The sequence below is a fragment of the Homo sapiens genome, chromosome 13 (assembly GCF_000001405.40).
Source record: "Homo sapiens chromosome 13, GRCh38.p14 Primary Assembly".
In the NCBI taxonomy this organism is placed as follows: domain Eukaryota; kingdom Metazoa; phylum Chordata; class Mammalia; order Primates; family Hominidae; genus Homo; species Homo sapiens.
This window is the reverse complement of record NC_000013.11, coordinates 92,674,520-92,689,353: the sequence shown is the minus strand read 5'-3', so window position 1 is coordinate 92,689,353 and position 14,834 is coordinate 92,674,520. Positions and strand designations below refer to the sequence as shown.

The 14,834-nt window shown below is 36.7% G+C and overlaps 1 protein-coding gene and 1 long non-coding RNA gene across 4 annotated transcripts in view; one reads left to right on the top strand and one right to left on the bottom strand.

Annotated features, from left to right (window-relative positions):
• GPC5 (glypican 5) overlaps positions 1-14,834 on the bottom strand; it is a 1,468,617-nt gene that overhangs the window by 177,884 nt on the left and 1,275,899 nt on the right. The gene's annotated exons all lie outside the window — the stretch shown is intronic.
• The window catches only part of LOC105370315 (uncharacterized), a 67,055-nt gene continuing 63,874 nt past the window's right edge, over positions 11,654-14,834 (top strand). For both annotated transcript variants that reach the window (XR_931643.4, XR_931644.3), the window contains exon 1: positions 11,654-11,836. This is a non-coding gene — a long non-coding RNA (uncharacterized LOC105370315). The remainder of the gene's footprint in view (positions 11,837-14,834) is intronic.

Below are 14,834 nucleotides of genomic sequence, written 5' to 3'. Positions count from 1 at the left end.
ACCAACAAAGATCAAAAGAGACAAAGAAGGCCATTACATAATGGTAAAGGGATCAATTCAACAAGAGGAGCTAACTATCCTAAATATTTATGCACCCAATACAGGAGCACCCAGATTCATAAAGCAAGTTCTGAGTGACCTACAAAGAGACTTAGACTCCCACACATTAATAATGGGAGACTTTAACACCCCACTGTCAACATTAGACAGATCAACGAGACAGAAAGTCAACAAGGATACCCAGGAATTGAACTCAGCTCTGCACCAAGCAGACCTAATAGACATCTACAGAACTCTCCACCCCAAATCAACAGAATATACATTTTTTTCAGCACCACACCACACCTATTCCAAAATTGACCACATAGTTGGAAGTAAAGCTCTCCTCAGCAAATGTAAAAGAACAGAAATTATAACAAACTATCTCTCAGACCACAGTGCAATCAAACTAGAACTCAGGATTAAGAATCTCACTCAAAGCCGCTCAACTACATGGAAACTGAACAACCTGCTCCTGAATGACTACTGGGTACATAACGAAATGAAGGCAGAAATAAAGATGTTCTTTGAAACCAACGAGAACAAAGACACCACATACCAGAATCTCTGGGACGCATTCAAAGCAGTGTGTAGAGGGAAATTTATAGCACTAAATGCCTACAAGAGAAAGCAGGAAAGATCCAAAATTGACACCCTAACATCACAATTAAAAGAACTAGAAAAGCAAGAGCAAACACATTCAAAAGCTAGCAGAAAGCAAGAAATAACTAAAATCAGAGCAGAACTGAAGGAAATAGAGACACAAAAAACCCTTCAAAAAATCAATGAATCCAGGAGCTGGTTTTTTGAAAGGATCAACAAAATTGATAGACCGCTAGCAAGACTAATAAAGAAAAAAAGAGAGAAGAATCAAATAGACACAATAAAAAATGATAAAGGGGATATCACCACCGATCCCACAGAAATACAAACTACCATCAGAGAATACTACAAACACCTCTACGCAAATAAACTAGAAAATCTAGAAGAAATGGATACATTCCTCGACCCATACACTCTCCCAAGACTAAACCAGGAAGAAGTTGAATCTCTGAATAGACCAATAACAGGCTCTGAAATTGTGGCAATAATCAATAGTTTACCAACCAAAAAGAGTCCAGGACCAGATGGATTCACAGCCGAATTCTACCAGAGGTACAAGGAGGAACTGGTACCATTCCTTCTGAAACTATTCCAATCAATAGAAAAAGAGGGAATCCTCCCTAACTCATTTTATGAGCCCAGCATCATTCTGATACCAAAGCAGGGCAGAGACACAACCAAAAAAGAGAATTTTAGACCAATATCCTTGATGAACATTGATGCAAAAATCCTCAATAAAATACTGGCAAACCGAATCCAGCAGCACATCAAAAAGCTTATCCACCATGATCAAGTGGGCTTCATCCCTGGGATGCAAGGCTGGTTCAATATACGCAAATCAATAAATGTAATCCAGCATATAAACAGAGCCAAAGACAAAAACCACATGATTATCTCAATAGATGCAGAAAAAGCCTTTGACAAAATTCAACAACCCTTCATGCTAAAAACTCTCAATAAATTAGGTATTGATGGGACGTATTTCAAAATAATAAGAGCTATCTATGACAAACCCACAGCCAATATCATACTGAATGGGCAAAAACTGGAAGCATTCCCTTTGAAAACTGGCACAAGACAGGGATGCCCTCTCTCACCGCTCCTATTCAACATAGTGTTGGAAGTTCTGGCCAGGGCAATCAGGCAGGAGAAGGAAATAAAGGGTATTCAATTAGGAAAAGAGGAAGTCAAATTGTCCCTGTTTGCAGACGACATGATTGTTTATCTAGAAAACCCCATTGTCTCAGCCCAAAATCTCCTTAAGCTGATAAGCAACTTCAGCAAAGTCTCAGGATACAAAATCAATGTACAAAAATCACAAGCATTCTTATACACCAACAACAGACAAACAGAGAGCCAAATCATGAGTGAACTCCCATTCACAATTGCTTCAAAGAGAATAAAATACCTAGGAATCCAACTTACAAGGGATGTGAAGGACCTCTTCAAGGAGAACTACAAACCACTGCTCAAGGAAATAAAAGAGGACACAAACAAATGGAAGAACATTCCATGCTCATGGGTAGGAAGAATCAATATCGTGAAAATGGCCATACTGCCCAAGGTAATTTACAGATTCAATGCCATCCCCATCAAGCTACCAATGACTTTCTTCACAGAATTGGAAAAAAGTACTTTAAAGTTCATATGGAACCAAAAAAGAGCCCGCATCGCCAAGTCAATCCTAAGCCAAAAGAACAAAGCTGGAGGCATCACACTACCTGACTTCAAACTATACTACAAGGCTACAGTAACCAAAACAGCATGGTACTGGTACCAAAACAGAGATATAGATCAATGGAACAGAACAGAGCCCTCAGAAATAATGCCACATATCTACAACTATCTGATCTTTGACAAACCTGAGAAAAACAAGCAATGGGGAAAGGATTCCCTATTTAATAAATGGTGCTGGGAAAACTGGCTAGCCATATGTAGAAAGCTGAAACTGGATCCCTTCCTTACACCTTATACAAAAATCAATTCAAGATGGATTAAAGATTTAAACGTTAGACCTAAAACCATAAAAACCCTAGAAGAAAACCTAGGCATTACCATTCAGGACATAGGCGTGGGCAAGGACTTCATGTCCAAAACACCAAAAGCAATGGCAACAAAAGCCAAAATTGACAAATGGGATCTAATTAAACTAAAGAGCTTCTGCACAGCAAAAGAAACTACCATCAGAGTGAACAGGCAACCTACAACATGGGAGAAAATTTTCGCAACCTACTCATCTGACAAAGGGCTAATATCCAGAATCTACAATGAACTCAAACAAATTTACAAGAAAAAAACAAACAACCCCATCAAAAAGTGGGCGAAGGACATGAACAGACACTTCTCAAAAGAAGACATTTATGCAGCCAAAAAACACATGAAGAAATGCTCATCATCACTGGCCGTCAGAGAAATGCAAATCAAAACCACTATGAGATATCATCTCACACCAGTTAGAATGGTAATCATTAAAAAGTCAGGAAACAACAGGTGCTGGAGAGGATGTGGAGAAATAGGAACACTTTTACACTGTTGGTGGGACTGTAAACTAGTTCAACCATTGTGGAAGTCAGTGTGGCGATTCCTCAGGGATCTAGAACTAGAAATACCATTTGACCCAGCCATCCCATTACTGGGTATATACCCAAAGGACTATAAATCATGCTGCTATAAAGACACATGCACACGTATGTTTATTGCGGCATTATTCACAATAGCAAAGACTTGGAACCAACCCAAATGTCCAACAATGATAGACTGGATTAAGAAAATGTGGCACATATACACCATGGAATACTATGCAGCCATAAAAAATGATGAGTTCATGTCCTTTGTAGGGACATGGATGAAATTGGAAACCATCATTCTCAGTAAACTATCGCAAGAACAAAAAACCAAACACCGCATATTCTCACTCATAGGTGGGAACTGAACAATGAGATCACTTGGACACAGGAAGGGGAATATCACACTCTGGGGACTGTGGTGGGGTCGGGGGAGGGGGGAGGGATAGCATTGGGAGATATACCTAATGCTAGATGACATGTTAGTGGGTGCAGCGCACCAGCATGGCACATGTATACATATGTAACTAACCTGCACAATGTGCACATGTACCCTAAAACTTAGAGTATAATAAAAAAAAAAAAAATTAAAAAAAAAAAAAATGAGCATAATTTTTCATAAATAACTTGATTATTTTTTTAAAATGCAGAGGGTCAGACTTGCCTTATCAGACATCAGAACTTATTACAAATATATGTGGAAAAATGTGGTAACAGGTGAAGTTTTAGTTTCCATTAAGAAATATTAGATCTGGCTGGCTACAGTGGCTCATGCCTGTAATCCTAGTACTTTGGGAGGCTGAGGAGGGTGGATCACCCAAGGTCAGGAGTTCAAGATTAGCCTGGCCAGCGTGGCAAAACCCCTTCTCTACTAAAAAAATACAAAAATCAGCTGGGCATGGTGGTGGGTGCCTGTAATCACAGCTACTCAGGAGGCTGAGGCAGGGAGAATTGCTTGAACCCGTGAGATGGAGGTTGCAGTTGAGCTGAGATTGCACCACTGCACTCTAGCATGGGTGACAGAGTGAGACTACATCTCAAATAAATAAATAAATAAATAGAACTACTGGATCTCACTGGCAATGGAAAGGGAAAGGAAAATTACTGATGGCAGCATACTACTAATGGTAAATAAGCACATGAAAAGATGCTCAACATCATATGTCATTAGAAAATTGCAAACTAAAACAATGATTTGCTACTACATACCTATTATAATGGCCAAAATCCAAAATACCAATACTACTGAGTGCTGGTAAAACAATGAGCAGAAATAATTCTTATTCATTGCTAGTGGGGATGCGAAATGGTATATCCACTTTGGAAGACAGTTTAGCAGTTTCTTATGACACTAAGCACACTCTTAGTATATGATTCCTTAATTATGCTCCTTGGTATTTGCCAAAAGAGTTGAAAACTTATGCCCCACAAAACATGCAGAAAAGTGTTTATGCTAGTGTTATTCATAATTACCAAAAGAGAAACAACCAAGGTACATTTCAATAGGCAAATAGACAAACACTCTATGGTGTAGCCATACAATGGAATATTATTCAGTGCTATATAAAAAAAGAGAGCCGGCTGGGTGTGGTGGCTCATGCCTGTAATCCCAGCACTTTGGGAAGCTGAGGTGGGTGGATCGCGAGGTCAGGAGTTCGAGACCTGCCTGGCCAATATGGTGAAATCCTGTCTCTACTAAAAATACAAAAATTAGCTGGGCATGGTGATGCACGCCTGTAGTCCCAGCTGCTCAGGAGGCTGAGACAGGAAAATCCCTTGAGCCCAGGAGGTGGAGGTTGTAGTGAGCTGAGATCGTGCCACTGCGCTCCACCCTGGGTGACAGAGCAAGACTCCGTCTCAAAAACAAAAACAAAAAAAATAAAAAATAAAAAAGAGAAAGAAAGCCATAAAAAGGCATGGAAGAACCTTAAATGCATAATACTGAGTGAAAGAAGCCAATATGAAAGCCTATATACTATGTGATTTCAAGTATATGACATTTTGAAAAAGGCAAAACTGTGCAGACAGTAAGAAGATCAGTCATTTCGAGGGGCCCCTGGGGAGGAAAGAAAGGAGGAATAACTAGGTAGAGCACAGGGGATTTTTAGGGCAGTTAAACTATTATTCTGTGTAATATTGTCATGATGGGTACATCTTATTATACATCTATTAAAATCCATATACTGGACAACATAAAGAGTGAACCCTAATATAATTATGAACTTCAGATAAAAATGATTTATCAACATTGGCTCATCACTTGTAACAAATGTAACATACTAATGTTAAAAATACCACGAGATGTTAAAAATAGGAGAAATGGGGGTGGAGTGAGAGAGTCTTTGGACACACACTTTAATTTTCACTAATTTTTGCCTGGAAACCTAAAACAGCTCAAAAAGTAATATATATATGTGGTTACTACAATGTCTTATTCAGATTAATACACAGTGAGAGATTGTGTCTAAGAACTGACATGGTCTTTAGTTTGAATAACAACACTGAAATGCAATATTAATGTAATTATAAATTAATAGAAAAAGTAAATTTTTCATATATGAATTATTTATAACACTTTATTGAAATAACCCACATCAATCCTCATCAGTTCTGATGTCCACATAATAATTAAAGGCCTCCAGCAGGTCCAATTTCATTAATTCCTAGAACAAATGAGTTTCACTCTAGCAGGCCATAAGTAGCGGTTCTTCAACTGAGAATGAGATCTAGAAAGAGAAAGATGTGTTCTATTTCTTCATGACTAGTGTGCTAAGTCATGGAGACAGAATCTTGGGCTTGGAAGTAGCGTCATCTTCCAGGTTGCTATGTAACCCACATTCCCAAGGAACAGACTGTCTGGCAAACCCTTTGGTCTCCATCCTTGGGATTTCTTCTCCTCCTCTACGTTTTCTCTCTCTTTCCTTTTTTTTCTAAATCATTTTTTCTTTTTCTGACCAATGATGCTTGTCCTTTTGTCCTAGGACTGGATCTCATTTATCTTTCTGGGAATAGCGCCATCTCTAAAGACCCCAAGTTAACCCACTTCATATCTAATCATTCCAGTCTAGACACTAAATACTGCAGTGTCAGTCAACACTCCCAGGGCCAGATCTTACCTCACACCTCAGGGTCATAACTCTCTTGACTACACTGGGTTTTGTCCTACTTTCCTCATTCTTGGCCGTGTGTATTTTGTTCTATCCTGGGAACAAGGAGAGGAGAAAAGAGCTTTGTCTTGCATTTCAGTATTAACCCTACTCCCACATTCTTCCCAGAAAGCCAGGAAATACAATGCCAGTGTTTTCCATTCAGTTTATATTTCATGTATAATTAACTTTTGTGTTGAACATGAATAAACTGAAAATTTCTTGAAATAGAAACTATTTGATAAAATTTTGTAGGTACAATGTATACAACCCGTGTCCGATAAATTACTGACATCTAAACTTGTTATAGATCTTTTGTTCTATCATGTACTAATTCAGTAATTGTATTGCAATAAAACTAACACTTGTTTGTTAGTTATAATTTGTTCTTGGCAAGTCTTTTTCTGTGTTTTGCTTATGCTTCCATTATCTTCTAGATGAGTGCTTATGTATATCTAATTTAGAAGCTTTACATTAAGAACAGTAAAAGAAAATCCTTAAATCTATATTTCCACTTAAAATAAGATTATAATAACATGTGCTCCACCACATATAGATGTTCACAAAACATAAGCAAGTGTGAATATTTTTTCATAACCACTTATGAAGAAATAGCAGGGCTCCTATTACGTGCACTTTAACAAATTAATCTATAAAGTCATAAACACATACTCTTCAAAGTAGCAATAGGCAAAACGGGGAGAGAGAGAGCACAATGTTGCTCCCAGAAGACACTGAATTTATTGCTATTACAGAATAAATTTTTGAAAGGGATGAAGCTTTTTGCTAACATATACAATGACAACAGCAAAAGGAATAGGAACTGGAAACTTCAGTTGAATCAGTCTATTTATAATGTAAGAGGTAGAGACAAAACATAGGTCATTGCTTTCTCATCATTCATTAATTCACTCATTCATTCAAAACACAAATAGATGCATGCTATGCATCTACACACTGGGGATACAAATGGCTACAACAATCCCTCAAGTTTCTCAAAGCCAGTGGGGGAAATATGCATATAAACAACAAATATCTTGCACTGTCATACTGGACATTTGAAGACTGCCTAATGAACTGTGAGACTACAAAATGAAATGCAGTCAATTTGTCCTAAGAAGGTCACTCACGGGGAGGTGAAGACTGAATTCCACCACAAAGGAATAGTCAAATTTTCTAGGCCAACAGGGAAAATGCTATTCCAGATGGCAGGAACATTGTGAGCAAAGTTAAGGGTCTAGGAAAAAATTTAAGTATGAAGAGATGAAAGCAGAACCACGTTGTTCAGAACAAGGGGTGGAGTATTTGGTAGAGAGAAATGAGAATTAGGAGGGCGAGACGGACAGGGTCTGACCAAAAATGGTCACGGTCAGCCTAAAACTGAAGAGTTTAGAATTTATCATGAGACAAGTAGGTGTGATTCAAAGATGTCGTAAGGTGCAACATGATAAGATTTGCTTTTCAGAACCACAGCCCTGATAGTCGTGTAGAGGCTGGATTACAGGTGGGGATGGAGGAGCTGTGGTGGAGGCCAGGGTAGGAGAGAAAGGAATGTAAGGAATGTGAGGAGTGGTGGGGTGAGTTGGGTGGGGATGGATTTCCTAAAAAGGTGACAGAGGAAGAGAGATTGGGTTGGGGCACTCAGAGGCGAGAACAGAGGGAAAAAAAGATCTAAAAGGAAGGAGAAGTGATAGGCCTGTGTACCAATTTGAATAACAATACTACAACTGTTTATTGAGAGCTTGTGATATACCAGACATGATATTTTAATCCTCAATACAATTAATTTTGGAATTTTTTTTATTTTATCAATTGATATTCAGAGGAGGTAAATCGCTTACTGAAGGCCATGTCGATTTTAAGTTAAGGGATGAGGTTAAAACTAAATGCTACTAGATACAGAGATGGTGTCCTCTCAACTACATTCTTTGGACCTCTTAACTGGATCAGCAACAGGGGAAAGGGTGGAGACTAGAATAGCTCTTCACAGTTCTCTGGATCTGGTTGGATGCTGACCAGTTTGGAGGAAGAAGATGAATTAAATGGAGGTACCTGAGGGATATCCAGGTGCAAAAGATAAATAAGCAGTTGGATGCACGGGTCTGAAGAAGGTTCCTGGTGACACAGGTTGGTAGATAGACTGAGAGCTGAAATTCACCGGCAATAATTGTTACTCTGTGTCTTCCCGTTGCGTTTATGGGTCAGATCAATATATATTTTCCTCTACCTTTTAAAGATGGAATGTACAATACCTATCTAATAGTTACTTCCTGAAGAGTAAAAATCTTTTTCACTAGTTTTTCATTGGTCATGTTGTTTATTAATGATATCCTCAACAAATATGTATTCATTAACCATTAGGTGCATTGTGCTAATTACACCACACTATTTGATGGAAAGAATGAGGTCTCTTCTTGCTAAACAGTTCTAGTCATCTACCTTTTATAGTTTCCTTTGTCTTTAGAGCAATTTATTTTTCTATTCATTATTCATCTTATTACATGTTCTTTTTGCTTCACTTTCTCTAATCCTGTTTTGCAGGAGAAAGATTATAAATAAAAACATCTATGTATAACTATAAAGCTTACAATCTCATAGCTGGCACATATTTTTGCAAAAGAAAAAAGTTGAAAACTTTTGTTGAAAAGAGTTGAAGCTGTTGAAGCTCTTTTTGTTGAAAAGAGTTGAATCTCTTTTGTAGGTATGATTTTTGAGTTGACATGGCAGGAAAATTAAGTGGCCAAAGGATTTTGATATAAGAGTAACAAAAGAGGGCCTCTAGGGACAAAGCAGATAATACATTGAGAATGAACAGAAATTATTTCTCAGGCTGGCTCTGCCAGGGCAATTCTTGTCCCTTCCCTATAATTAATTATTTTCTAGTTTAACCGAGAAAATATGAGACAATCTCAAACTTCCTCAGAGCTAGGTTACAATATTCCATTCTATGAGCCCTAGAACAACATGAACAGAAGCTTTAGTGGTAGCATTATAGTCTATGCTGAGGTTTCTTAGCAGTGCATTATTACCTTAGAGATCGCTGCTTAGTTCAGCCAGTTAAATGGAGGTCACTAAAGTGTTCCGCTCTTGAAAGAGAAGGGGGTGGGGAGGGTGGGGGGGTGGAGAGAGGAAAAGAGAGAGCGCAGGAGTGAGAGAGAGAGCACGCACGCGAGCGAGAGAGAGTGCATGAGAGAGAGCTCTTTCACAGAGCAATTCATGTAAATATATGGTCCAATGGCCAAGAGATCCATTAGTTATATTAATTAGACTTCATAGCATTTGCTGATGAACCATGATGAAAAAAATTGGAAGGGAACAGGAAACACATACACTAGCATCTGGTTTCACCACACTTGAGCCCTTGAGAACTATTAAGTGATAGTTTGACACAACTCAGAGTAAAATCTGTCTGCTCTCTGAAAGTGTGTATTTTCATAATTTAAGTAATTCATGCAAATTAGTTTAGATCAAAATGTGAGCTCCATTGTTGCCTACAAGTCAGCATGACTTCATGATTGTGATATAATAGTATCATCACCTCAGGGAAGGATACTTCTGTGAAATTAAGTGATATAGTCCTATCTGAGTAGGAATATTGTACATGAAAAATCCTGCTAATAAGCATAGGTCTTATTTTGATATTTTGGAATTTTATAGGGAATTAAATACAATAAAATAAAGCATCCTACTGAGGTCAGACATCTGAGAACAACAGGTTAGTCAAATCCTCATTCCTGTGAAATTTACCAAGGGGCTTTTAAAATGGCCAAACGTTAAAGTATCTAGCATGATGCTTGAAATATAATATGTGGAAATACACTAAACTAAAATGACCCTGTCCAGTCTCATGGCTTCAAATACCAGCCCCATGCTAATGATCAAATTTTCTATGCATTCAAATCTCCCGAACTCAGATTTAGATATCTAACATCTCTACTGGTTTCTTCACCTGTTTCCCACATCAAACTTCTTTCTTTTCTTAATCCATTTCCCCCCACCTTTTCCATTATATTAATCATAATTAAATAGGGACGTTTGGCTCAGGCTCTGAAATTTGACTCACATCCCATGTCAAATTCAACACCAAATCCTCTCAACTCTACTTTAAAAATATTTTCAAAATATGACCACTTCTCTCCACTACAACTCTAGCTCAAATCATCCTATCTTTTTCCTAGGTGATTGCAATAACATCTCACTACCTGGATCTACTCTTTGTCCTATAGTCAATTCTTATCTCAGCAGACAGCAGACTATTAAAGCTGTGAACCATATCAGCCTCTATTGCCTTCTGTAGCTTCCATTTCACCTCCATAGAAATCTCCACGATGACATCTAAGACTCTCTATGGTTGGTCCCTCTTCTTGCCTTACAACTAAAAACTCTTCTACCATTTCCACGGTATTCACTCTGCTGTAGCAGGGAGACCTATTTGCTGTCCCTTAAACAAAGCAGATGTCTTTCTCCTCTGGTCTTTGCATTTGCTGGTCCTATTACTAGCAGTGTTATTTTTTACATCCACTTGATGACTTCCCTCATCTCCTTCAAGTCCTTGATGGAGAATGTTCTTATACAGTAAGGACGTACCTGGCAACCATATTTAAAACAGAATCTTCAGTCCCATGTCCAGAACTCTTTATGCGCCTTCTCTGTTTTATAATAGTTTGAGAAAATCAGTAAGTGTTTTGGGGACACAGCACTTACCACCACCTGACATAATTAGGCATAAAACTGTATTTCTTAATTATTTTCTTTCTTATATATTTGTTTGCCTTTCATCATCTAAGCATTTAGCAGAAGTTGTCTATGTTATTCACCATGGTATTCCTAATTCCTTAAAAAGTGTTGGATATAAAACAAACATACATTGAACATTTGTTGAATAAAAGAATTATATGTAAAATTACGGTCAAGAATTTTTCGAGGGGAAAACTCTTATCCTCTAAACACATTTATTTGGATACCTGGTAAATTATACTATAATTAACTTGGGAAATAAACTTGTTCCTCTTATGTTAATTGAGGGAAGCTTTGGCAGGAGCATTCTGCTTCATCTCCAAGTATTTTAATCAAAGCCTATTGTTATTTTTTTCAAATATGACAACCCTATGGGACCCACCGAGCTGAAGATTAGTGAAGATTAGCTGGGACACCCAGTTCCTGTTCTCATTGTGGAGTGCCAGATTTCCTGGGCAAACAGTGTGAGTAGATAAAGCACATGGGTGGGGTGGCGTCAGGTTTCAGGCATCAGCCCATTCCAGGCTTTGCTCTTCAACACATACTGTCCTCCTGAGCCAGGACGCAGACCATGACTACTTTTGCCTCTGCACGTCTGTTCTGATTTCTTTCTTCATGTGGGATGCCTCTCTATCCTTCTCCTGCTTTTAATATGGAGCTTCAGTCTCTAAGCTAAAAGGCCAAGTCCAGATTCACCTGCCAATGAAGCTCTTTAAATTATCTCTTCTTTCTCAGGACTCACTGGCTGTAAGTCCATGGAACAAACACAGAATTTGTTACTTTTCATTGACATTGTTTTAGTTGAGTTGTGTTTAACTAACTTGTTGAATGAACTGACACTGTACATTCTCCCTGTAAAATAACAGTGTGTTTTCTATTATGCCTAGTCTGCTGCCTCAACTTGGCATTATGTTAATTTATCCACCAGCCAGTTTGTTTAGGTTGTATTCAAGTTAGTCTTTTGTGACATAAATAAAATTAGTGATGTGATTATAAAAGAGTGGTGCTATTTATGTAAAAATATGTTGGGTCTTGAAAAGATTAGAAAAAGCTAAGTTGATTAATATGAGGGCTAAGCAACTGTAAAATTTTTAAGAAAAAATTGTAAAATTAGAATAATCAGAATAACAAAATTTTAATAAGTTAAAGGTTTTCGTACTTCAATTACTTTAAGTTTTTGTTCTACTTTAAACAAATAAAAATTTAGAATTATAATTGACTTGTTATGATCATAATTTATACAAAGAAGACAATGTATAGAAACTCCAGTTAATAGAGTGATAATCAAAGGGTCCTGGACTTATATCAAAATATTGGCCAATTAATTTACATTTGTGTGTGTGTGTGTATTTTTAACCCCATGATCCTCCTCCTTAACTCACTTTTTAGATTAAGTATCAAACAACTGGTCTCAATTATATTTGAATAGAAGGTTTCTACTCAATTGTTCTCTAACTTGACCATGTTCGGTACTCTTAATTAAAAGATATAATTCTTTAGTAAATAGTTTTCATAGATGTTTTCTTTCTAACTGATTATATGAAAGCTACCCAATAATGGGCAGGTTGAATAGTCGTGGGGTAGGCTCAATGTCGGTCTGTGGAATGCTACCTGTCTCCACAAACCTAAGAGAACAAAAACACACCCTTAGCATTATTATCTACTTAACAGTCGAGTCGAACTGTGACTGAACCTGAGGTTTGCCTGACTCCATACTTCTTATTGTTATTCACAGAACCACAGCCTAATTTTGCGTGTTTCTTTATTTGAAGAAATCTTGAAAAAGAATTGCATTCTTTGACTTTTCTAGTTAATTAAAAATTTCATCTGAATCAGCAATATCTTACTGTGATGGCAATTGTATCTCCTAAAAAAATCACAGTAGAGATATATTTGGAATTAAATATATCCAAATACTTAAGTAGTACATTCCCAAATATCTGAGTAGTATATTCTATGAATTATGTCTGCAGGCTTACAAATGACCTTCATATAATATTAATAGAAACTAAACTAAGAGCTATTCAAATTATACTCATGGCATTGGACATTTGGGGGTAATTTTCACCAACCATCAATGTCTGTTATATAATGGTATTGCTACATCTATAGTCTTGGTCAACAAAATTTACTCATGTTTGATATAATTTCCTTATAGCCATAGCATGTCGTTGGAAGTAATGCAGTGCTTGAAATTCATGGCAAAAAATATCTGGTTAGGATTCCAAAATATAAACCATTGAATAAAATAGTGCCATTTACTTTTAAGATGAGGACAATATTTCGATGGGAGGATATACGTGGTTTTGTGAACAACAAAATAATATTGAGACCACATACATACAGTAAGTGTTCACACTTAGCACTATGTGGGAATGGCAGCAGTCATTTCTAATAAATAATGTGTGAAAATCAATAGGACAGTTCCAGAAGCACCTCCTGCTTGTTCATGGCATAAGACCAAAGCTCTGCTATATGAATATTACATATGTTTTTGACAAAACATCAAGACTTACACCATTTACAATTTTCTAGTTTCCTGGAGAGGAAACTTTATTAAAGCACGTGCTAAGTAAACTATAAGATTCATATAAGAAACTTTAGTCCTATAGCTGTTTCTATTTATTTGGAGTTGAAAAAATGGCATTGTTGTACACGTACTTGCTTTATAGTTAAAAAAAAAAGGAGGGGGACAAAATACATTAATCACACTTTCCAAGCATCAAGGAAATTTGTGGTGGAATTATGAATCATATCATTGTAGGGTCATTTTCCTTTGTATCATGATATCATACAAGACCAATGTCAAACGGAATAGGTGAAAAATGGACAAAAAGTTTTAAAAATCATTTCAGTTAACAGATTTAAACAGAGTTTAGCTATGAAGCAATGAGCAATGGTATACTAGCTAGTGAAAGAAATGAACAACTAGGGATTAAGTGTTGAGGAAAATTGCTTTCTAATGAATTAATTTTGAATTGGTAAGAGACAAATTAAAGAATAGGATTTAACTTTTAAATATACAACTTTGGTGACAAAGTATTTGCCTATACAGGTTTCTTATGTCTAGTGTGTTCCTTACCTCCCAAATATTATTTTATAACTCTCTGATAATTTCTGAAAGATATATATCAGATATTCCTATCTAAAAAAGTCATCAATATTTTGTACTAGTATCAAAAGTAAAGAAGTATTTGACATAGGTTTATTTACTGGTTTTATACATACAAAAATAAAAATATAACTCAAAACAGCAAAGATAACAATAAAAACTGCATACTCACCTTAGGGTTTTTAAATAAGCTAATTGTTTTTCTTCTAAACAAATAGCTAAAAATGTACAGTGAATACAAATGTACTTAATTTCTCTTTTTTTCTATATTTTGATTGGTTAGTGAAGTGTCACAAAAGTGATGATGCTGAATTTTTGCTATTTTCTCTCTAAAGTGAGGTTCTGAAAGAAATATATCTATAATTTGAGGTTGTGAAAAAGCCCTTTTCTAAGTTCTAATTTATTTCCTTTGTGTACTTTGCAGTAGACATAGATGTTAAAAATTCAACAGAAAGAAGAAGATAAAATAATCAGGACATGAAGCCCTTCTAGAAATTAGCAATGTCCTCTATTAATAATGGTATGATGATATGCCACTCCATGAGCTCTTGCTTCAAGAAGAGCTTCATGAAGCTCCTGCTTCAAGAAGAGCTTCATGAAGCTCCTGCTTCATGAAGCAAGAATTCATGGATT